Source organism: Homo sapiens, chromosome 10, assembly GCF_000001405.40.
Source record: "Homo sapiens chromosome 10, GRCh38.p14 Primary Assembly".
Classification (NCBI taxonomy): Eukaryota; Metazoa; Chordata; class Mammalia; order Primates; family Hominidae; genus Homo; species Homo sapiens.
Genome location: NC_000010.11, coordinates 125,262,714 through 125,287,833, shown reverse-complemented (window position 1 = coordinate 125,287,833; position 25,120 = coordinate 125,262,714). Strand labels below are relative to the sequence as shown.

At 45.9% G+C, this 25,120-nt stretch overlaps 1 long non-coding RNA gene across 1 annotated transcript, besides 4 other annotated features; it reads right to left on the bottom strand.

The window, feature by feature from the left end:
• Positions 1–12,561: 12,561 nt before the first annotated feature.
• LOC105378542 (uncharacterized) lies at positions 12,562–24,737 on the bottom strand. Its single transcript, XR_946435.2, has 3 exons — positions 24,654–24,737; positions 24,387–24,490; positions 12,562–12,755 (listed from the first exon to the last, which is right to left on the bottom strand). It is a non-coding gene; the product is annotated as an uncharacterized LOC105378542 (long non-coding RNA).
• Positions 20,323–20,822: an enhancer, noted in NCBI's record as "H3K4me1 hESC enhancer chr10:126955581-126956080 (GRCh37/hg19 assembly coordinates)". NCBI's record gives its function as "activates a minimal SCP1, AML or CMV promoter by ChIP-STARR-seq in naive H9 embryonic stem cells {active_cell/tissue: H9 hESC(naive)}" and the evidence as "EXISTENCE:reporter gene assay evidence [ECO:0000049][PMID:30033119]".
• Positions 20,823–21,324: an enhancer, noted in NCBI's record as "H3K4me1 hESC enhancer chr10:126955079-126955580 (GRCh37/hg19 assembly coordinates)". NCBI's record gives its function as "activates a minimal SCP1, AML or CMV promoter by ChIP-STARR-seq in naive H9 embryonic stem cells {active_cell/tissue: H9 hESC(naive)}" and the evidence as "EXISTENCE:reporter gene assay evidence [ECO:0000049][PMID:30033119]".
• Positions 23,560–24,759: an enhancer, noted in NCBI's record as "P300/CBP strongly-dependent group 1 enhancer chr10:126951644-126952843 (GRCh37/hg19 assembly coordinates)". NCBI's record gives its function as "activates an origin of replication core promoter dependent on BRD2, BRD4, P300/CBP, MED14 and CDK7 cofactors, with strong dependence on P300/CBP, by STARR-seq in HCT116 cells {active_cell/tissue: HCT116}" and the evidence as "EXISTENCE:reporter gene assay evidence [ECO:0000049][PMID:35650434]".
• Positions 23,920–24,214: an enhancer, noted in NCBI's record as "tiled region #1286; HepG2 Activating non-DNase unmatched - State 22:ReprW". NCBI's record gives its function as "activates a minimal TATA promoter and a strong SV40 promoter by Sharpr-MPRA in HepG2 cells {active_cell/tissue: HepG2}" and the evidence as "EXISTENCE:reporter gene assay evidence [ECO:0000049][PMID:27701403]".

Here is a 25,120-nt window from a genome sequence, read left to right as displayed (position 1 = left end):
TGGCTGAATGATATTCCATTGTATGGATAGACCATGATTTGTTTATCCATTTGTCACCTGATGGACATTTGGGTTGTTTCCACATTTTGCTGATTGTGAATAGTGCTGCTTTGAACATGAGTGTACAAGTTTTTGTTTGAACACCTGTTTTCAGTCCTTTGGGTATACACCTAGGAGTGGAATTGCAGAGTCAATTCTATGCTTAACTTTTCTGAGCAACCCCCAAATCTCCTTTTATAACCCTAATCTGGTCACCTGGGTCCTCACTGGTAGAGGCAATTCTCATCTTCACTTCTGGGAGTTGTCCATAGTCACTTCACACCAACAAGTCCAGAATTGGCTTTGTGCCCCTGCTCATGCCTGCTGGTGGTCTCGCTGTAAGGGCCAGCATTCCTTCAATTTCCTAAGCTAAACTCCTTGTCGGCGCCAAATCTTCATGAAACACTACTTTTGTGGTCATTCCAGGTTTTTCTTTCACCACACTCTCCAATCCCAGCTCTCAAGATCATCCAAAGACATTGCATGTTGTATCCACTCATTCCCTCATTCCTTCATTCATTCATTCACATACTCAACCACCATCTGTGAAGGCTGCACTCTGTGCCAAGAGCTACAGAATGCAAAGTTGTAAGAAACAGAGTCCCTGTCCTCAAAGAGCTTGAATACAAGAGTGACTAAAAACTCCCAGAAGCGACAGGTGTCTACAGAGGCATGATATAGATCCGCCTCTAGAACGGCAGAGGCTGAGGTGAACCAGTAAAGGATCTTGAGGGAAGGGACATTTGAAGAGGGCCTTAAAGGGCGAACTCTAACTAGAGGCAAGAGAGAAGGCCTGGGTGAGACAGAGCGAATGCTATGAACCATGGGCTTCTGAGCAACAGCACGTGCTCCCCACTAGAAAGACCCCAAGGCTCAGACAGTGGTTGTCAAGGTCGGAAAATGAGGACTCTGGAAGACAGGTGGAGACTTTCCTTGGGGAGCAGTGCGGAGCCAGGGAAAGTGTTGTGAGGAAAGAGGGCATTGCCATGGGAATGCTAATTTAGGAGGGCTGATTAGCAGTGGTGTGGAGGCTGCATATGGGACCAAGCCTGATGAGGGAGCCTGCTTAGCAGGCCAGCATTTCCCACTGTAGGCCCCTTACAATCTCAGTAAGAGTTAGGTAAAAAAAAAAAAAGGGGGTTGATTTTTTTTAATCTGTTATAATATGACCAGATGTTAAGACTGAACACAGCAGGTGATCAACCCCAGAATACTTACCATGCTGTCCTCTAGCCTTTCCTGAGTGCTCGAAATATGTCATAAGAATAACTTTTTAAAGAAAATAAAATATAACTCCAAAAAAGTGTGGTTATGTAAGTTTGGGACACACTGGAGTGAACAAAGTTAAATCAAACTATTTATTTACAGCAGGCCTTTTCAGAGACTCTGGGATTCAAATGTGCACTGTAAATGTGAATTTCCAAAAGCTGAGTGTTGGAGGCAGAGATTCTCCCACTGACTTCACTGCAGAGCCTTCATCCAGGTCCTAATACTCACCTGCTACCAGTGTGGTCTGGGAAATACCATTGCAGTGCTGCCGATGAGAACAGTGGGCGCCTCATCGATCTCGCCTACAGGATGAAGCTGGCAAAGAAAAGCCACAGATGACAGGTCACCACAAAGGCAGCACTCTTAGGGCTTCACATATAGCTCCCAGTATTTGGGGACGTTGAGACTGAAGGCACATTCTTGACCTCAAGGATCTTGGAGTTCACTCTGGGGAGAGGGAATTATTCACAAACAATGCAACGCCTGTGTCTAGCAAGAGACCCAGCAAAGACTGTGGTTGACCTGGGAGCAGGCTCTTAGTGATTGGCCACTCTCCTTCAAAACAACACCTTTTAAATATTTGTTTAACAGTCAGAGGAGTAGAAGAAATTCTTTTTTTTAATTCATAAGAATAGCATGGCTTTTCTTTTTGGTTGAAATAAGCAACTTATTGCATGTACTGAGCAGAATATTACAGCTTATTTGACACTGTCTTTCCTTCAGCAAATTTTTGACACCCCAAACTGGGGAGCATCAGCCCCTCATCTGCGCTAAGGAGTGTGGTGTTCTGTGTGGGTATGGTGACAAAGACTCATTCAAAATGCAGCTGAAAGTTCTTGTTCAGGTTTTGCTGCCAACAGGACATTTCTCATGCTGCTGTAGTGCATATTTTCATTTCTGCTCTGTTCTGTGATTCACCACACCAGTCAAGTGTCGTGTGGGGAGTGGAGTCATATTAGATTATATAAAATGTAGATAATGAAAGAAATTCCTCATTCACAGTAAATAGCACTGTGCCATGCACTATTTTAGTTTCAGAATTTGGTGTCCTGAGATGCCGACTCCAGGTAGCTGTTGCTAAGGGGCCCCAGGCTAGAGGGTGTGGCCTGAGGTTGCTTTGTACCTTGCCTGTGCCTGGTGCAGCATCTCTCACTGGGCTGGCACCGGCAGGGAATTTTCTGCTCCACTGGCTTTCTCCTTCGGTGAGAATGGAACTAAGTTATATTTTACCTGTTGAGTAAGGAGTCATATGTGGAAGCCTGCCTTAAGAAGCATCTGTGATTGATACCATTGATGTTTACAGAGACTGGTCCCCCTATATCTAATCCCTCCTCCTTCCACTGTAATCAAACTCTTCCTGGACACACAATGACTGACTATCAAGACTACATTTCCCAGACTCCTTTGCAGCTAGCCGAGGCTATTTTATTAACTTCTAGCCAATGGGATGAGAGCAGAAGTAAAGTTGTGTCTTTAAAGGGAAGGGGTGTGTCCTCCCTTTCCCCCCATGCTTCCTCCCCTACATGGTGGCCAGCCATGTTGCACCATGCACGAAAGAGCAATATGTTAGGGATTGTGGAGCCACAAGAGAGAAGGAGCTTGTGCTCTGATGGTTTTGTGGTGCAAACCCACATTCCTGCTCAGACTTTCAGGTAAGTGATAGATACCTCAGTTAAGCCATGGTATTAGGTCTTTTTCATACACAGCTGAAACCATATCCTAATACTGACCCCTTAGAAGCCTCCTGGTTGCTCCGCCATCCGTAATCAATGCCCAATGGAGGCATAAACGAGAGGTGAGCAATCCCCTTAGGAATCAGGAAGGCTCTTCAGGAAGGTAACATTTCAACTCGGTCTTGGAGGATGTGGAGCTCAGACAACCTGAGTAGGACACAGGAAGAAATTGGGAGGCTCAGGAAGGAGAAAGGACAATTCATTAACCAATTTATTTCAACAGTTCTGTGTGTGTGTGTGCGCACACATATACACATTCACAAGTCCCCAGAGGAGCAGGGTAGAGGTGGTGGAGGAATTCATGAGAAGCAGAAGAAAGCATGCCTATTCAAGTTAAACAAGGAGGAAAGAGTAAAAGTGGGTGTGGTATCAGTTAGGAGGCTGTGGCTACAAGAAGCAAAACCCCAGCATAAACTGGCTTCAGCAGAAGGAAGTCATTGACTCACAGGGCACCAAACTTCAGGTGGACTGGGTGTCAGGGATGGTTGACCAGGCAGCCCAATGATGCCACCAAACTCTCCAATTCCAGAGTCTGCCCGTCTCTCTGTTTCTACCATCTTCATCATTAGCTCCGTCCTACGACTGGTTCACTCCTGGTTATAAGACCACTGACTACAGCATTGAGAGCGACAGGCTGCTTCTTGCGCATTCAGAGGGAGAAAGAAATCCTGGCTCTCTTGAGTCAGGTGAATATTCTCAGAAGCTGCCAGAGAAAACCTCAAATCTCAGCAGCCAGTATTGCCCCGCCATTGGCAAGCAGGACACTGACCTCAGCCCCGCGTTGCCCACCCTTGATCTGAGTCAGCTCCTCCACAGCCTGGCTGCACCGCGGTGGGAGAAGGGTGCAGTGGGGATGAGGGCTTCACACCAATGTGCCCCTAATATTTGCCTAAATTAAATGGGGCCAGATTTGTGAAAAAACTCCAGTCAGGTAGCTCTGCTTCTTCTGAAACCAGAAGGAAGTCTTCAGCTCAGAATCAAGAAATAGAGAATCTTAACAATTTATCTACACTTTTTTCCCTTTTTCCAGTTTAGCTGAAAATGTCAGCTTGGGAAGGGAGGGGAGGATTGAGGATGAAATGAGTAAACAAGGTAGCCCTCTCCTGGGGCCCGGGGAAGAGCAGGCATTCGCCTGGAGGTAATATAGAAGGTTAAATACAGAAGAAGAAATAACACAGTACACAATTATAGGCGTTCATTCTTCTGCTTAAAATGGGGAGTAAAGGTCACAAATCAAATCAAATCACTGCATTAAGTCCAGAAGTCACCTGCCTCCAATCACCTAAGTCCCTTTGTTAGCGCACAGTAAAGCCATCCCTGTTCCATTAATTAGAAGGCCAGGGCTCTCCAGAGGGCAACAGCGCAGCTAACAGGCGAGCATCCTGCAGCCCTCAGGTTAATTGCTCCATTGAAGCTGCAGGCTCCAGGGCTCTGAGCGGAGGTGGCCACCCTGCTGGAGTGTCTGCCACACCAGAGGAAGTTTGCATTGGTTTGAACAAAAAAAGAAAATAAGGAAGTGCACTCCTACTGAACTAAACATATTCAGCCCTGTCCTCTGCTCTGAAAATCAGGGCTTCCAGCTTTCCTGGTGGTGGAAAGCCCCTGTTTCTTAAAATAATGGTGATAGTAGGTGAGTCTGAGTTTTTAAATGTCTTCTCAATTTGAGTAAATAAAAAGTTAGCAACTCTATGTCAGTGCCCAACATTGTGTGTTATGATCATACTAGACTGTGAAACCCACAGTTGGAGCCACAAATCAGGTCTGCCCTTGACTGCAGGAGAACTTCGTTTATGTCCCCGTCTCTCTTCCTTTAGGGGCAGGGATCCTGAAGTGTTTGCCTTTGTTTCCCCACATCTAAAATAGTCTTGGCCATAGACTTAATTTATTTGACAAACCTCCCACTCAGCTCTTCTCCAGACTGAGGAATTCCATGTCCAGCACTGCTTATCCAAGCTCCTATTTCCAGCCCTTCCTTCCTGTTCATCCCTGTTTTCCCTGTAAAAATTCTCCACGTTTCTTCCTCAGCACTGTGGGACCCAGAACGCCCACTGAGCTGAGCTCAGTGCAGGGACTTGCAGCAGTGGAGCCCTGGGTACCCGGGCTGGCCAGTTTTCCAGCTCCAGGAGAATGCTCCCTCCCTACAACCTTCCATGGCTCTCACTGTTACCTCAGGTCCTTTCCTTGTCTGGTTCTGAATCCTCTTCCCAGAGGCTTCCTTCTCAATGCTCCATGAGCAGTCCTGTCCCCACCGATTGGCTCCATTGCCACCTGCCCTCTTCCGCAGCCCAGTATCTGCAACCATCCTGACCAGAAGGCAAAACCATCTTAAATTAATTCTGTTTTCTGCTACAGTGTCATTAAAGTGCTAATGTAAATACAGTCTTTCTGTTTTTAAAACAGTCCTAATAACCCAAGAAAACTTCACAGTGAATGTGCTATCTGTCCCAGTCAGTGTCAGGATGATGGACACATGGATGCTGGACTTTCTGTTTCTCCATCTGACACCTGTTGCCTGTCAGGCTTCCTTTGTTCTGGTGCATCATAAACCACACTTCTTTCATTGATCTCAATTCTACATGTGGCACACAAAGGCCTTTCTTTGCTGCAGATCTGCAGAACTCAGAGTAAAGAGCCAAAACATTATTCAGTTAATTTGATTGACACAGACATCTACTGTGAGCCACTAACACCAGAAGCAGGGTGTGGCACAGATCTTCAGAGCTGGATCTTAAGTGTCTTACAGAATGATCCCCTGAGCTCAGCAGATTTCCCAGAACATGGCCAAGTGTTTACTCCTCTTTAAGCAGCAGCAACAGCCTTGTGGTTGAATTTGGTTTGGGATAAGTTGATACTGGGTTCAGAGTGTATGAGATGATACTAAAGAAGTGCCAGAATGCATTCTCAACTGTCTTTATCTACAAAACTCATGAAAGTTGACACAAAGAGAAGTTGCTGTAAGCCACCATTAATATCACGGATGCAATACTCTGGCAGGTGCTAAATCTTGTCCTCCAACCTGGGCCACTCCAGAAAAGGCACTTGATTTCAATATGACTTGAGAGCTCTCAATCCTCTTGCCCAACACGAGAAATTACATTTTGTTTTAGAAAATGCCAAACTTACTTTTTAAAAAGTGTGATAACCACTCATATTCCTTTCACTGACATTCATCAATTGTTAACATTTAACCACATTTGCTTCCTCTTCCCCTCACCACCTCGCTCTGTCTTTCTCATATGTCTATAATGGATTTTTTTTTTGACTGAACTAATTGAGAATAAGTTGCAGAATCATGACCTATCACCCCTAAATACTTCAGCATTAATTTCCTAAGAACAAAGACATTCTCTTATGTAACCACAGTATAATGATCAAATTCTGGAAATTTAACCTTGACACCGTACTATTATCATGCAGTCGTTACACAAACTCCCAGTTGTCCCAGGAACATCCTGTAAAGCAATGTTTTTCTGACTGGATCCACCCAGCAAGCACATATTGCATCAACGGTCACGGCTCTAGTTTCTGTTTTATGGGGACCAGATCTGAAGCTTGTCTGCCTTGCCTGACGCTGGCAGCTTTGAAGAGCATAGGCCAGTTGCTTTGTAGCATGTTCTTCAATTGAGTTTGTTGGATTAGTCATTGGATTGAGGACATGCATTTTGGGCAGAACCATAGCAACCCAAGTGACACCGGGTCCTCAGTTACATTAGCGCATCTGCCTATTGGTGACTTTAGCTCCAGCCACGTGGTTAAGGTTCTATCTGCCAAATTTCTCCACTGTAAAGTACAAAAAAAAAAAAAAAAAACCTTAGGATTAATAAATAATGTGTGGGGGAACACTCTGAGACCTCAATTCAAAGTACTTGTGTAAATAGTGGAAGGATAAGCACAAAGTCAAAGGGGTCCTGATCCCAGCCATCATGAAGTTCAGTCTGGTGGAAGACGCAGATAAGCACCTCCTCATGACGCAGCACCTTCCCATCTTTGGGGAAGGAAGCAGGGAATGAACATACTCTTGAACATCCCATAATACAAAGCCAAACAAAATCAGTTTGCAAGAGGGATCCTAGCTAATTAGAGGCACCAAGGTACCAAACACCTACTTCCAAATGGAATGATTGAGAAAGGCGTCCCAGGAACGCAAAGGCAAATCACCTGCAATTATAACAAGCAAAAAAGCCACAGGAAAAAGGTGCATGTGAACTATAAACACATGAAAAGACGCTCGAGCTCATCAGTAGCCAGGCAAATGCACATTAACATAATGAGTGTTTAACCCAGCATAGAGTCAAAAAAACAAAAATGTTAATAACACACAGTGCTGGTTGGCATACAGGAAAGCTGCTGGAAGTGTGAACTGTTCCCTCTTTGGAAATGAATCTTGCAAAGCTACTAACATTTTAAACACCAATGCATTTTGACCCAGGTCTCTATTTGAATTACTTCCTTAGATCAAGAAAGACATCTGAAAACCAAGTGTAAGTGGTAGAATTTTAATCTACAGCAACAAAATCTCGAGAAATGTCACAAGCTTTTTTCTCTCTGTGTGAAATTTAACCTTGTCAGAGACCTTCATGCACTGGGCTGGCAGGTGATGCAATCTCAGTTGTTTGGGGAGTTCTGACCCCTTCCTAGATTCTCCAAGGGCCCTAGAGGCCCAGCGTTATCTAGAACATTCCTAGAAAGGGCATTTGGCCTCCAGACCAAGTCGGCCTCCATAGTACATCTTGTGGGCCCAGGAAAGAGAGCAGCTCCTCTGTTTCTGTGCTTGGGGCTTAATCTGGTCTCCTCAGGTACACCACGTCCCCCACTACCCAGAGGGCCTGCCACCCCCCAGGAAGTCTGGGGGGTCTGGGTTTCAGGTTCCAACACGCAGCCTTTTCCCCTTTCTCAATGTTAGATACAGCTCCTCACTGCTTCCACTTCCCTAGAATTTGCTTTCTCTAGACTATTTTTCTAAGTGAAGTAACTTAGGAATTGAAAATCAAACATCATATGTTCTCACTCATAAGTGGGAGCAAAGCTATGAGGATGCAAAGGCATAAGAATGACACAATGGACTTTGGAGACTCAGGGGGAACAGATGAGAATGGGGTGAGGGATAAAAGACTACAAGTTGGGTTCAGTGTATTCTGCTCGGGAGATGGGTATACCAAAATCACCATGAGTAAAGAACCTACTCATGTAAGCAAATACCACCTGTTCCCCCAAAATTTTTGGAAATAAAAAACTTTCCTCTGTTCCCAGAAACTCTCCCAACCGAGGCTCCCCCATTGCCCCTCAAAAGCCTACGTAGGGGGTCCCTTTGCCAGGCCACACCAAAGCTGCCAACCACACTTCTTTGCTTGTGTGATGAAGCCAACCCACCCTGACCCCCCGAGGGTGGGGGATGTGTTATTTATCTTGGCACCAGCCACGTAGGGGTTCTGGCAAATTGTAGATCCTCGGTCAGTGTTTGGAGAATAAATGTGTATAATTTTCCATCATTTTTAATTAGCAAGTATATACTTTCAATACAGAATGGTTCATGCTATTATGTTCCACGTGATAGCCAGCTTTTTTCATACAACAATATATTTTGACTAGCTTCTTTTTTATTGCATCTTCTCCAAAATATAAGATGCCATTACATAAATGTATCATAATTTATGGAACCAACCTCTTACTATTGTTTCCGACTGTTCATTATTATAAGCTCTGCTATGATGGACTTTACAACTCTATTTTTACAAACATCCAGAATTATATCCTTAGAACAAATCCCTATTTGTAGAATTGCTCCCTCAAAGGATGTACAGAACCATAAGGCTTTTCTTGAGCGTTGCCAGATTGTCCTCTAGAAAGGCTGTGCGAATTCACACTCCTACCGGCAGAGAGAGAATCCGTGCGCCTGGCACACTAACCTGGTCTGGTTTTTAAACAAACACATAAGCAAGTTGCAATTTGAGGTTTGGTTCTTTCTTACAGGATGCAAGAATCTTCAGGCTGCCCAGTTCCCACCACCCAATTCACTTGCTGCACTTCTCAAGAGTATTTTTTAGATCTCAAAAGAAAAAAAACACTCCCAGTGCTCAGAGTCCCATCACATAGGGCCTGTTGCCTCATTAAGAACAATAACGTGCTCCACACAATGCTGATTGTTTGATGTCTGAGTAGGGAAGAGAAGCGAAAGAAGGAGCCAACGTCTGCTCCCAAATATGTCTGCACAACTGGTATCCGAAGGCAGAACTGGGCCGGGGAATCGAGGCAGCTCTGGAGAAGCCTGTCAGCAGTCCAAGCAGTTTTACGGAACACGGGATAATTAACATACACTAATTTCTTACTGCTAATATTGATCTCTATCATAAAAGCAGTCATTTTCTCATTTTAAAAAATTGGGGAAGCAGAAAGAATGGGGGCAGGGAGCTCATCTATAGTCCACCCCGAAACAGCTGGTGAATGTTCACTGCTTCTTCAAAGAAGTTTCTCGTCCTCTACATAGATTACTTCTTTCATGTGATTGCTGTCACACAGTAATGCAGCAGTGTGCCCTGTCATTTTTTTATTCACCAACACACTGTAAGCATTTTTTAAATCTTGATACAAACTCGCAGTAAACCTATTTTTAACAAGTGCGTAATATCCCTTCACGTGGATGGGACATAGCACAACCATTTCCCCAACTGGACCCGTAATGTTGCTGGGAGTGGTGGCTCACACCTGTAATTTCAGGACTTTGGGAGCCTGAGGTGGGAGGATCACTTGAGCCCGGAAGCTCAAGACTGCAGTGAGTGGTGATTGTGACACTGCACTCCAGGCTGGGCAACAGAGTGAGACTCTGTCTCAAAAAAAAAAAAAAAAAAAGCAACTTTCTACATAAAACATTGGTGTATTATTTTGTCACTTATCACATAGGACCATAAGTGAAGAATTCATTTACAAGAGAAAAAAAAGGCACATTTAGAGATGCTGACCCCCTTGACAATCAAATGAAGGCTATAGAGTGGTCATCTGTCACTCTTCTCACCACATCAGATATTGCAAAAATCACAGACCCAATGCAGGTTGAAGTATTTCTCTGCAGACTCCAACCTGGGATCGCATTTCTATCTCCATACCCAGAGTGCAGCCACCAGAGCAGTGGGAACTTGGCTTGTGAGCCTTGTAGGGATGCAATTACAAGGAAAAGAAAATGGTCTGTTTTTGTTTTGCAGCAATTCCTCATTCCTGCTTATTAGCTTCTCTGGTAATTTTGACTTTCCAGATTTTACCAGCATTATACTTTTGGTCACAGTCATCAGTTTGTGTCTCTCTGTTGCTTCTCCAGATTCTTGTTACCCATACCTTTCTCTGTGTTTACTTGGTTATTCTGGTAAAATATAAACTACAGAAGCTTCCTGAGAAGTGAGTACATGGGATATAAATTTTTTGAGACTTCCTTTTTTCTCTTTGAGACAGAGTTTCCCTCTTTCGCCCAGGCTGGAGTGCAATGGTGTGATCTCAGCTCACTGCAACCTCCACCTCCCTGGCTCAAGAGATTCTCATGCCTCGGCCTCCGAAGTAGCTGGAATTACAGGCATACACCACCATGCCTAGCTAATTTTTGTATTTTTAGTAGAGATGGGGTTTTGCCATGTTGCCCAGGCTGGCCTCAAACTCCTGGCCTCAAGTGATCCACCTGTCTCTGCCTCCCAAAGTGCTGGGATTTCAGGTGTGAGCCACTGCACCTGGGCTTTTTGAGACTTTTTGAAGTCTGGAAATGTTTATTCTACCCTCAGGTTTGATTGATAGACTGGGTAGAATTCAAGATTGAAAATCATTTTCCTTCCAGGCCAGGCGTGGTGGCTCAAGCCTGTAATCCCAGCACTTTGGGAGGTCAAGGCAGGTGGATCACGAGGTCAGGAGATCGAGACCATCCTGGCCAACATGGTGAAACCCTGTCTCTACTAAAATACAAAAACTTAGCCAGGCGTGGTGATATGCACCTGTAGCCCAAGCTACGTGGGAGGCTGAGGCAGGGGAATAGCTTGAACCCAGGAGGCAGAGGTTACAGTGAGCCGAGATTGCGCCACTGCACTCCAGCCTGGTGGCAGAGCAAGACTCTGTCTTGAAAAAAAAAAAAAAAGAAAATAATTTTCCTTCCATATTTTGAAAACATTGTTCGTTGTCTTTTAGCTTCCAGGGTTGCCTCCAGGCTGAGAATTCCAAAGCCAGTGTGACACCTGATCCTTTGATATGACAGTTCTCTTGTATTATGTTGTGTTTTATTTCTTTTCTGGAAGTTTATAACATTGCTTGTTTGTCCTCAGGGCCTTGAAATTTCATTATATGGCTCTATTTTGATTCATTGTGAATTCATGAACCTCTTCAACCTGAAACTGTAACTTTTCATTTGGAAAATTTTTCTTGAATTATTTCACTTATTATTTTCTCCTTTCTATTTTCTCTCTTCCTACTTTCTGAACTGGTCCACTAATTTCGCAATCGTTTTGTTTTCCATCCCTTGGTCTTTTTGTTCAATTTTTGAGTGATTCCTCAACTTTATCCTCCAATCCTTATTTTGGGTCTGTCATTTCTAGCAGATGTTTCATTTTCAAGCAGTCTTTTCTTATTGGCTGGTTTGTATTGATTTATAGGAGTTCTTTGTATAATCTGGATAGAAGCCCTTTGTCTAATGTATAAATTGAAAATATCTAGTTTCCACTCTGTGGCTTACTTTTTCATTCTCTAAATGGTGTCTTTTGAGGAACAGAAATTCTAAATTTTAATGAATTTTAATTAATTTTTAATTTTATAATTAGTGCTTTTTTTGTCCAGTTTAAGAAATATTTGCCTACCTCCATGTCATGACAATATTCTCCTATGTTTCCTGCTGGGAGTTTTATTATTATACCTTTCACATTTATACCTATTAGTCCTCTCAAATTGACTTTAATGTGTAGTGTCTGGTAGGTAGTGCTCAAGGTCCTCTCATAGTTTGCTTTGGTATCTTTCTTTCATGTTAGATGCTTTCTTTAGATGTCTGGCAATCCTTGGTCATTTTCTCATGTTTAAATGTGAGGAACTCAGAATCTGTTTAGAAACTCCAAGTATGTGAGTAGGGAATGACTACTATGAACTTCCCTATACATGTCCATCTAAACACCTGCGCATTCATCTCTTCACAGTCTTTGCTCTTGTGCAGGACAACCTCCATAAGGAAGATTTCTTAAGTCCCCAGCCTGGAGGCCCAGCCTGGGTATGAGCATTCCAAGGGTCTAGGGGGAGAGAACTGGGGGTACCAGCATCCACTCTACATAGGCTCCCTTAGCCCATTGGGGTTCCCAAGTCCTTATCCGATCCTCTGCTGCACCTGATGTCCCACGGCAGCATTGCCCAACTTCACCTTCTCCAGAGAATAATGTGCAAACTTATGCAAGGCACGGGGTGAGGGGAACCACCCCTGGCCCAGCCAACAGAGCGAAGAAGCAGAACTAGGGACCTGACTGTTTCTGAAACAACTCTCAGCATCCCCGAGACTCACCTGGTGCCACCCACTCCTGCGTGTTTTGAGGATTCAGCTGCGTACATGGAGTTGATTTTCCATTTTCTCAACCACCAGCTGGGGATTCAGCCTTCCCAAATCTGCTAAAGCAGTTACCACTCGTCCATCTGTTGCTCAGACTCCCAGACTGTGCTGCTGTTCTCCTCTCATGTTCTTGAAAGTTTATGAGTTTCAAAAAAATCTCCCTACTGAAGCAGGGGGTAGAGGAACAAAATTAGTGTGTTCAATCTGCCATCTTTACCTGGAAGATAAAGAGATGGGCTTCTCTTTTTTCTAAGTATAAGCTATTTTTTTAAAAGAAATCAACTGACAACATGTATCAAGAAACTTAGGAATATTCATACCCTTTAATTTCACTTCTAGACTTCTAGGGATTTATCTCAAGGAAATCATCAGAAATGGGGGCAGAAATTTTTATTTTAGTGTTCACCACAGTGTTATTTATAAGGCACAAAACTGAAAACAAATGAAATGCACAACAATATAGAAATAGTTTAGAAAATTCTGGCATATCCATAAGGTGAAATATTAAAAATCATTAAAAATAATACATATGGGCCTGGTGGGGTGGCTCATGCCTCTCATCCCAGCACTTTGGGAGGCCAAGGAGAGTGGATCACTTGAGATTAGGAGTTCAAGACCAGCCTGGGCAGCATGGCGGAACCCTGTCTCTACTAAAAACACAAAAATTAGCTGGGCATGGTGGCACAAGCCTGTAGTCCCAGCTACTTAGGAGGCTGAGGCAGGAAGATTGCTTGGGCCTGAGAGGTAGAGGTTGCAGTGAGCCAAGATCACGCCATTGAACTCCAGCCTGGGCGACAGAGTGAGACCCTGTCTCGAAGAAAAAAAAAAAAAAAAGAGAGAGAGAGAGAGAAAAGAGTATATATAGGAAATGGGAAATGTTCATAATGCAATTAGTGATGCAAGGATATAAACTATACATTCAACTTCATCCTGCTTCTGGAGAAAGAGGAAAGGAGAGAGAAACAAATAGAAAGAAGTACATCCAAAGAAGGAGGTAGGGGAGAGGAGAGGCATGAAGAGAAAATATAGGCCAACCAAGATTTTTACCCTAATTGTCTTTAAACATTATTGCTATAATCAGAAAAACAATTGTTTTAGAATTAAAAATAGGGTCTTGCCTTCTTTCAGCCATCTTGTCCCTCTAATCCCTCCCTAAACATGCAATTTGCTTATGTGCCTCCACGTTGTGACTCATAAAACCCTCTTGCCTGGAACAGACTTCATGTCTAACTCCTACATAGCCTTCAGGTCCCAGCTCCTGCGTCCTCTGCCTTTAAACAAATCCCTGTCACTCCAGGTTGACGTGGCAATCCACCCTCCTGTGCCTAAGCCCAGTGTGCGTGTCTTTATTATCATGCCTTCCACAGTATTACACTCAGTGATTTTCTTTTACATGAACTTCCAGAGGGGGAACGTATGTCCGATTCGCCACTCCATCCTGGCACAGAGCAGAGTTTAACTCATGGTAAAATCATAAGCATTTGAATGGAGTGAAGTTGATGGGTTGAAGGAGTGAATAACATTTTCACAGGTCACACCACTGGGGGCTGGGTTGTGTATTAATCTATGCGCACCTACCTTTCCATAACTATGAAATGTTGGACCTACAAAGCCAAACTCAAGATATCTGTGTTCATCTCGTGACTCCTACTCAAATGATCCTTAGAAAATTTAAGAAGAAATAATCTGCAAACATCTTAGATCAGCCTCACAAACCAGTCTCGGAGGGAAGTAGCAAACCCTGCAGGACGCAGCTGCAGTTGACAAGAGTGGCTCAAAGCACAGGGCTCTGTAATAATTATCATTATTTAACAGCATTCCACAAGGAACCATTACAGGAACAAGGCTTGAAATTAGAGTCAAACGATTCCCCCTTCCCTTCGATCTACACACACAAGCCCCCAGTGGCGCGGCGAGAGGGGTAGGAACGCTGTAATTATTTCTAACTCTCTCCCCAACCCCAAAATACCATCTTGTCACATGGCTTGTCATTTTTGTATGGCTCTGTCTATCATAACTTGTCATATTTTCCCAGCTTTTATTGCAGTTCTCATGAAGCACATGTATTCCTGGTGGAATCGTGGCTGATGCTGGGAGATTCTTGTTAAAACCCGCTGAAACTTTGTCCTGTCTCTGCTGCTGCCTCAGAGGGCTTGGGAACAGTTCCCTCCTGAGCATTATGGGCCTGGTGCTACTAGGATGTAAGCTTCCTGTAGTGTAGGGGGTGCCTGGCAGCCCCGCCCAGAGCCCTAAACCAACAGCCAGTGGGGGCATGTGGACTCTGAGGGTCACCCTTAAAGGTGGAGGAAAACCTGTCCCTGCTGGTCATATTCTTGGTAACTGGAATGTTACCAAAACAAAAAACAAAAAAGGAACTTTCTGCATAAAACATTGGTGTATTATTTTGTCACTTATCACATATGACCGTAAGTGAAGAATTCATTTAGAAGAGAAAAAAAGGCACATTTAGAGATGCTCACCCCCTTGACAATGAAATTAAGGCCATAGAATGGTCATCTATGACTCTTCTCACCACATCAGATATTGCCAAAATCACAGACTCAATGCAGGTTGAAGTATTTCCCTGCAGACTCTAACCCTGGATCTCGTTTCTATCTCCATACCCAGAGTGAATCTCCCTTGCAGAAATTCAATCTACACAGGAGTAAACACTTGGCCATGTTCTGGGAAATCTGCTGAGCTCAGGGGGTCATTCTGTAAGACACTTAAGATCCAGCTCTGAAGATCTGTGCCACACCCTGCTTCTGGTGTTAGTGGCTCACAGTAGATGTCTGTGTCAATCAAATTAACTGAATAATGTTTTGGCTGTTTACTCGGAGTTCTGTAGATCTGCAGCAAAGAAAGGCCTTTGCGTGCCACGTGTAGAATTGAGATCAATGAAAGAAGTGTGGATTATGATGCACCAGAACAAAGGAAGCCTGACAGGCAACAGGTGTCAGATGGGGAAGCAGAAAGTCCAGCATCCATGTGTCCATCATCCTGACACTGACTGGGACAGATAACACATTCACTGTAAAGTTTTCTTGGGTAATTAGGACTGTTTTAAAAACAGAAAGCCACGTTTTAAAAACAGAAATCTCCCTTGGGGAATCTAGGAAGGGGGCAGAACTCCCAAAATAACTGAGATTGCCTCACCTGCCAGCCCAGTTTTTTGGGTGTGGGCCTCAGGCTCTCCATCCAGGTAGGTGTATAATGAACTCTGGTGCTTTAAGGCCAACCAGCTCCCATTTGCCTTCCAAAGAGCATTCCAGTCTCCCTGAGGGAAATTACTTTACCTGTGGGATTGTAGGCAGGACCCTGCCTTCACCAAGCCAAGGGCTCTTAGGCTGAGCCCTCGCTGAGTGCAGAGCTTGAGCTGGGAGCCAGGCATCCAGGAATGGATGGAGATCCCAGCATTCCTGCCAAGAGGCTACTCCCACAGGTCTGCTTCCATCGCAGTGCGCTCCCTTCCCCTCAACCAGCTTCCATGATTTCCGCCTATTGCCAAGCCAGGTCTCCAGGCTTCCCACTGCGCCCAGATGCTTTTCCAATCACTCCCCTTGTGCTTAGGTCGGCAATGAGTTTCTGTTGCTTGCAGCCTGAGCCCCCTGGCCCACCCGCTTGCTCCTCCCTTTTCCCAGGGTCCTCAGAGGCCGCTGAGAAATCCTGACCTCAGGGTGGCTGTGATAAGAAGCCTTCTCTCCTGGATCACACCTGCATTCCCCTCCCCTAGACAAGCCCCCTTCCCCAGGAGCCTCCCAGCTCTCCCCCTTTACCAACCCTCTCCCTTCTCCCCTTTGGACACTTGTCTCATGGGGTCTATGTGCTCCACTGGCTGACGGCCACCCCATTTGGCCAATGAATCTTGCTCAAGCTGCTTCCATCTTCTAGAATGGTTGCCCCACCCTAAGAGGCAGCTCTGGGGCCACCTGCTCCATAGGGCCTTTCCCTCAGACCCCAGAGGGACAGGACATCCTCCCCCACAGCACTTCACAGGCACCCTTCAGGACACGAGGCATGTTTCATCTTCTGTTACAGCCACTTCTACACACGTCCCTTAAACTTCCCAGCAGGGGTGACATGTCAGCAAACTATGGGAGATGCCAGAATCTCCTCAGCACAGTCCCGTGCTGGTGTGCAGCAATGGGGCTGTCTCCACCGACAGGCTCAGCCGAGCCCTGACACCGTCCCTGAAACAGGCCAGCCCTGTCCACACAGCCACAGGACAGCCTCTGTGAGAACATGTGCCCGTCTCACTCACCGTCTCTCAGGCCTGGGCTCTGTTTTCCATTAAATGTCAAGTTCAGCGGTCCATCATGATCAGAAAGGGCACACGTTCACTGGCATTAAAACGTCTTATTAACAAGATGGACAGATCCAATAATGGAGAGTTAAAAAGCAGGTTAGGTTCAGAGCCTGCACCCGGGAGATATACCACTTTCCACAGAATAAAACTCAAAGGACTTGGCTCCGCTTTCAACCTCTTCCATCCCCCACAACAACAACAACACACACACACACACACACACACATATACATGCACGTATAAACACACATGCATACACAAACATTTGCACATACATACATATATACATACGCACACACAGATACTCATACACACACAAAAACATATATACATGCACACACAAACACACACACACAAACACGTATACACAGCCCGTACCCAGCTGCAGCTCAGCAGGATGGCCACTCCTTCCACACGCCCTCGTCCTCCTGCCGCCAGCCGTTGCTTATGCTCTGTCTGAAACACCCTCTTCAGCTCTCCACCCAGTAACATTCTTTTGGAACTTCAAGGCCCTGTGAAGACCCACCAGCACCAAGAAGCCTTCCTACCCATCCCTAATCTAAGTGAATCCCACCTCTCTTTCTCCCAGTGCCTTTCATAGCCTTTTGATGCCACTGACCATCCCCCCGCCGCCGTCCCCTGCCCATCCGCAGGGATTAGTATATGTATCAGTGCCTGCTACCAGATCGTAATTCACAAGGGGAAAGACAATTAACACCTCTCCTCTAGTTTCCTCATCTGCAAAATGGGTATAATCACAGCCATAGGATTATTGTGAGAATTAGATGAGTTAATACATGCAAAGCACTTAAAGCAGCACTTGCACAGAGCAGGTGCTCTGCATTAATTGAGTGGCTGCAATGAGCTATATGCCTACCTCAATGTGCTATTACCGTTAGAGATGTGGAAACTGAGACCCACAGAGGTCAAGCACTTGCCCCAAAGTTGTCAAGTCATGACGTAGAATCAGGGGACTCACACCCAGGTCTGGCTGGCTCTGAAAATCTACCTTCTTCCTGCCCCACCTCACTCCCTGGACTAAGATCATCCCTGGCTCATCCAGAGCCAGCCTGAGCATGTTGCTCTTTTGAATTTTGAGGAAGGAAATCACCATGCCAACCCACCTTTCTCTCTCTCTTCTCTTTTTATTTTATTTTTTATTTTTATTTTTTATTTTTTGAGACACAGTCTCACTCTGTCACCCAGGCTGGAGTGCAATGGCACTATCTGGGCTCATGGCAACCTCCACCTCAAGTGATTCTCCCGCCTCAGCCTCCCGAGTAACTGGGATTACAGGCATACACCACAATACCCGGCTAATTTTTGTACTTTTAGTAGAGACGAGCTTTCGCCATGTTGGCCAGGTTGGTCTCAAACTCCTGACCTCAGGTGATCTGCCGGCCTCAGCCTCCCAAAGTGCTGGGATTACAGGTGTGAGCCACTGTGCCCAGCCTCTCTCCCTCTTTTTAAAGAAAGGGTCTTGCTCTCTGTCACCCAGGCTGGAGTGCAGTGCCATGATCATAGTTCACTGCAGCCACCAACTCCTGGGTTCAAGTGATCTTCCTGCTTCAGCCTTCCTAGTAGCTGGGACTACAGGCACATGTCATCATGACCAGCTATTATAATTTTTTAAATTTTTTACAGAGACAAGGTCTTGCTGTGTGCATAGTCTGGTCTCAAACCCCTGGCTTCAAGCAACCCTTCCACCTTGGCCTCCCAAAGTGCTAGGATTACAGGCATGAGCTACCATGCCCAGCCCCACCTTTCTTTTAAAAGAAATCCCCCCCACCCCAAAACTGGATATCCATATGCAGAAGAATGGAACTGGACCACTATCTCTCGCCGTATATAAAAATCAACTCAAGATGGATTAAGCACTTAAACATAAGACCTGAAACTATAAAACTACTAGAAGAAAACACAGGGAAAACACTTCAGGACTTTAGTCTAGACAGAGATTTTATGGCTAATATCTCAAACGCATGGGCAACGAAAACAAAAAATAGACAAACGGACTATACTAAGGTAAGAAGCTTCTGCACAGGAAAGGAAACCATCAACAGAGTGAAGAGACAACCTGTGAGTGGGAGAAAGCATTTGCTGCATCTGGCAGGGAATAATTCCCAGAATACACAAGGAACTCAAACAACTCAACAGTAAAAAACCCAATGACCCTATTAAAAAGTGGGCAAAAGGACGGGTGCAGTGGCTCATGCCTGTAAGCCCAGCATTTTGGGAGGCTGAGGCAGGCGGATCACAAGGTCAGGAGATCGAGACCATCCTGGCTAACACGGTGAAACCCCGTCTCTACTAAAAATACAAAAAAATTAGCCAGGTGTGGTGGCGTGCACCTGTAGTCCCAGCCGCTGGGGAGGCTGAGGCAGGAGAATGGCGTGAACCTGGGAGGCGGAGCTTGCAGTGAGCCGAGATTGCACCACTGCACTCCAGCCTGGGTGACAGAGCAAGACTCCGACTCAAAAAAAAAAAAAAGAAAAAAAAGTGGGCAAAAGACATGAATAGGCATTTCTCAAAAGAAGACATACAAATGGCCGACAGCTATATGAAAAAATGCTCATCGGCACTAATCATCAGGGAAATGCAACTCAATACCACAATGAGATATCATCTCACCCCAGCCAGAATGGCTATTTAAAAGGACAAAAACTAACAGGGATGCTGGTAAGGATGCAGAGAAAAGGGAACTCTTAATACACTGTTAGAAAGAATGTCAATTAGTACAGTCACTATGGAAAACAGTATGGAGATGATGTCTCAAAAACTAAAAATAGGACTACCGTGTAAGCCAGCAATCCCACTACTGGGTATTTATTCAAATGGGAAAAAAAGCCAGTATATCAAAGGATACCTGTGCTCCCATACAGCACAATTCACCATAGCAAAAATATGGACTCAATCTAAGTGTCCATCAAGGGATAAATGGATAAAGAAATGTGGTCTAGATGCAGAATGGAATACATTCAGCCATGAAAATAATGAAATCTTGTCATTTGTAGCAACTGTGGATGGAGCTGGAGGCCATTATGTTAAGTAAAATAAGCCAGGCACAGAAAGACAAATACTGCACATTCTCACTTACATGTTGGAGGAAAAAAGAAAGAAAAAGAAAAAAAAAAACCACATGGATCGTATGGAGGTAGAGAGTAGAATAGTGGTTGCCAGAGGCTGAGAAGTGGGGAGAGGATGAAAAAAGGTTGGGCAATAGTTACAAAAATGCAGTTAGATAGAAGGAATCAGTTCTAATGTTCAATAGCATACCAGGGTTATATATTTCAAAACAGACAGAAGAGAGAACTTGAAATGTTCCCCGCATATAGAAATGATAAATACTTGAGGTGATGGACACCCTAAATACCCTGACTTATCATTCCACATTCAATGCATGTAAAAATAACACATGCACCCCTAAATATGTGCAAATATTATGTATCGATGAAAAAAGAAATCTCCCCGCTACATTGAGGAATTTACATCTCGGCTTAGTGGGGTTCCCAGTAAAAACTCAGCACTTGCTGGTCCGCTCCGATCCCACCCTTGTGCTCCCCACAACTGACTCCTGGCAAGTTTTGGAGCGAGATGGCGGCAGAGTTCAGGGTAGGAGGGGAAGGTCGATTTGGTTATCTGACAGCAGTATGGTGCTTTCTAGAGCAGGGCTCGATGTGCCTTATTTCTTCAGCAGGAAGGCCTCGAGGGAGCGGTGCCCATGAAGCTATCGCCCACCTCCCCAGAACTTCGGTGCGGAGTCCTCAAGGGCCAGGAGATGCCCACCGTCAGCACCCACTGCCAGGGGCTTCACACTCCACACAGCACCCCAGACCAAAGGGATCCATTGTGAAGTCCACCTTTTTATTCTTCTCGGTAGTGGCAGCAGGCCAGGGAGGCTTGCCTGGAAGCCTCAAGAAGCAGTTTTGCCCGCAGCGTCTCAGTGGAAGGATGAACCCAGGCAGGAGCCAAGGACATGTCAATGTCCCCCCAGGGCCAGCTCTGCCAGGTGTCTTGACACTCAGCTGACAGCCCAATGGGATCCTGCTTCCCTTCCGTACAAATTACAGCGTGACACAGGAGACCTCGCCTGAGCTCCTACACCATCGCCAGCACTTCATATTTCCAGGGCGGGCGTGGGGAAGCCAGACGTCCACCCCCATTCGGGGCTCTTGCTGGTTAGAAACTAGAACTCGGCAGTATCCTGAGACATTGTCAGACTCCACCCTGAGGCGGGGCTGCCACTGCCCATGGAAAGAAGGAGGTGTCAACGAGGGATCCGCAGTCACCATCCTCTAAGCAGATGCACCGTCCAAGGCATGGGGTCCCCCAAGCCAATCGGGCTTAACATGAGGAAAGCAGCTCAGTGTCCATTTGACAAGACAGCTTCAAAGCTGACTCATTCTGATTTTTTTGTTGTATCTATTCCAAAAGCTAGTAAAATTAGTTCTCTCTCCTATACACACACACATGCACACATGGACAGAAATACTATTTCTTGGGACATGGCTGGCATATAGGTTGTACCAAAGAGTAGAGTTACAGGCTGGGCCCAGTGGCTCATGCCTGTAATCCCAGCATTTTGGGAGGCCGAGGCAGGTGGATCATTTGAGGTCAGGAGTTCAAGACCAGCCTGGCCAACATGGTGAAACCCTTTCTCTACTAAAACTACAAAAATTAGCCAGGCCATAGTGGCACGTGCCTGTAATCCCAGCTACTCGGGAGGCTGAGGCAGGAGAATCGCTTGGGCCTGGGAGGCAGAGGTTGCAGTGAGCTGAGATCATGCCACTCACTGCACTCCAGTCTGGGCAAGAGAGTGAGACCGTGTCTCAAAAAAAAAAAAAAAAAAAAAGTAGAGTTACAATATGAAATACAGGACCTTCAGTTAAATTTTAATTTCAGATATTTTAATTTCAGATAAACAATGAATAATTTTTTTGTCTAAGCATATCCCAAATATTGCATGGGTCATACTTACACTATAAAATCTTTTGTTGTTTTTCTGAAGTTCAAATTTTACTGGGCATTCTGTATTTTTATTTGCTGAATCTGGCAACCCTACCAAAAACCCACTCATTCCAGGCATAGTGCAGATGTGGCCACAGAGGGGGCGGGTGCTGGGAAACCATGCCTCAGGGCCTGGCTCCCACAGCGGCCCATTGAGAAGTGTCTGCCTCCCATTCCTGGCCTGTCCATCCTGGGGTACCTGAGCCCGGGTAAGATCAGAATGGGAAAGATGCTGCCGAAGGGCGGCCACAGTCCTGTTGCTGAAATGCTCCATCCTTAGCTGTCTGCATCTCCCCACTCTGTTTCTGCATCTGTACCCTGACCCCCTTCTCACCTCCCGGACACTGCATCATTTGCCTGGTCCTTACCCCTCTGGAAGACCCCTGCCCTCCGCATTCAGATGACTCCACACACTCCCAGTGGTCACCCCCTCCTCACAGGACCCACCTGGGGTGTCTCTCCACCTCCAGCCTCACCCTACAACTGCTGCTCAGCTGTGCTTCCTAAGGCACAGCTGGTTCTCATCGTGCCACTCCCTCCCCTGCTCCGTAGCCTGCTCTGGTTCCCTGCTGCTCGCCAGGTGATTCCTTAGCCTGGCATCCAAGCTCACTCCAACCGTACTCACCCTCCCTGGATTCTCTCTCTTTCCCTCCCCTGCACCCCTCCCTGCCTGTTCCCTCATTACACTCTGCCGGGGGTGCCCCGGGCTCCTCTTCTCCAGGGACCGGGCTCTACACATTTGTCAAAGCCCAGGACACTTTCCTTCCCTGCACTTACTGCTCTCCGCACAGTGTCCCTTCCAGGTACTTGTTGGCTCGCTCATTGTCTGCCTCTGCACGTCACCTCTGCTATTTCACAAGCTCCATAAGAGCAGAGACCTGGTAGCCCCAGGCTTGCAGGAAGTAGGGAGCTGCAAGAGGTGTGCTCGGGAAATGCTGTTGCCAAATAAATAAAATGCCACTTCTTCCAAGAAGCCCTCTCAGATTTCCCCCAGCTGCCTGTGATCCCTCCATGTTCAGAACCCATGTGGCACTGGAGCAGTGCTGTGTAGTGCACTGATCATTTCTAACTTTTATTTCTTTTCTAGACAAAGTTTTGCTCTTGTCACCCAGGCTGGAGTGCAGTGGTGCACTATCTCAGCTCACTGCAACCTCTGCCTCCTAGGTTCAAGCGATTCTCCTGCCTCAGCCTCCCGAGTAGCTGGGATTACAGGCACCCGCCACCACGCCCAGCTAATTTTTGTATTTTTAGTAAAGACGGGGTTTCACCATGTTGGCCACAGTGGTCTCAAACTCCTGACCTCAGGTGATCTGCCCACCTCAGCCTCCCAAAAGTGCTGGGATCACAGGTATGAGCCACCACACCCGGCCCCATCATTTCTAACTTAGATTATAGAGTTTGTCTTATTCCTCCTGCTAGACTGCAAGTCCCTGGAGGGCAGAACTCAAGCCTTACTTGCTGCATTCTGTGCAGATTGTATGAACAAATGCATTTGTGAAAGCATGAACAAGTATAGGAAATTGGGCAATGGCCCAGGGGCCTGCAGAAGGCCTTGTGTAAGGCCATCAGGTTTCAAGCTCCCAGCACCAGCTCTCCCCAAACAAGCCCCTGCCTTTTTCCCCAGGGTGTCTGGGATCCAGACCCCTGGTTCATCCCCTAGAGCTTCCAGTGCTGCCCCAGCCTGCGTCCCAGCAGCTGCACCCTGGGAGTAGGGAATCCCAACTCCACCATGACCTACTCAGGGTAGAAGCAAGGCTGTGTTTGAGGAGGCACTGCCACCTGGCCCACAGCTAGAAGCCCACCCAATGCCAGGATGGGGCTCAGTGTGGCTATAAAGGGGAGCAACAGGCAGGGAAGACCCAGGAGCGGGAGGCACTAGGGTTTGGATGCAGAGAGGGTGCTCGGACTGAGCTTTCTCTGGGATCCATCTTGGAGTGTTTTGGGGGATGTATCCCCTCCCCACCCCTGCCACCAAGACCACCCAGCAGTTCCTGCAACAACACGACCCTAACAGTTATGGGAATTTAAGAGGAAGATGACCAAGATCTTCTCTCCATTCTTTCCCCAATTCATTCATTCAACAAATATTTACTGAGCGATGACCTGCCAGGAAGGAATGCCATCCACGCACCAGATACCTTAGGTATGTTGTCACTAATTCACACCTCCGCTCATTCTACAGGAAATGGAGGTTTGGAAAAATGATGCAACGTGGCTGAGGCCACCAGGTGAGTGTGTCCAGGCCAGTCCAATTCCTGCATACTTATTCAATGTCCCCCGTACCTCTTATTAGTTTTTTATTGTGTTTTGTTCAAGAAAACGCATGTCTTTGTATGCTCCCCAAGTACATCTAGCTATAGGTTTCAAACTAAGAGGAGAACGCTCTTTCAGTCATTCAGCAAACAGTTTCTGATGCCAACTGTGCATCAGGTCCTGAGGGTAACCCACCGGGATGCCTCTAAAGATAAACAAGACCTGTCACCTCTGACAGAGTTCACAGTCAGTGGAACAGTGGACGGAACAGCAACGCAAAGTGAGCCATCACTGCGCCGTCATCCTGGCTCTTGGACTTTTCTTCTCACTCATCTGCAAGGTCAGAATAAAAATAATAAGTGTGTAACCTTCAATCCAACATGCCACACGCAGACAGACTGCACACCCACTCACCCCCGCCGACACACACACACACACACACACAAAATGAAAAGAAACACTTTATGTTGCAATGAGCATCGTTTTGTTTTCATACCTGTTTCATTTTTTCCCGTCACAGCCTACGGTTTTCCTATTGTCTCTTTTCACCTCCCTTCCTTTCCATGTTTCCCTGACATGACAACCCTGTGAGAAGAACACTGGAATCATCAGCCTGCATGAGAGGTATCATTAGAAGTGCATTGATATTATTGAAGGCAGGGCTCATTAAAACAAAATAATAAAGATCCAGATGATAGCAGGGAAAGCAGGTTGTCTGGGTGCCACTGCACAAAATACTTCATTAGTGTTCCTAATTAAACTAACAACTGTCACGAAATAAAAATATCACACCCCCTAAGATCTGCCTGCTTATCCGGTGCTGTTCTAGTTGAAAAGCCCCCATGTCTACTTCACTGTGATCCCTTTCTGAAATAATTGGTGTGGTTTGATTGATAATGCAGATTCCTCTTTAAAGGAAAACACACTATTTTTCATAATCAGAGCTGGAATGCATAATGAGCA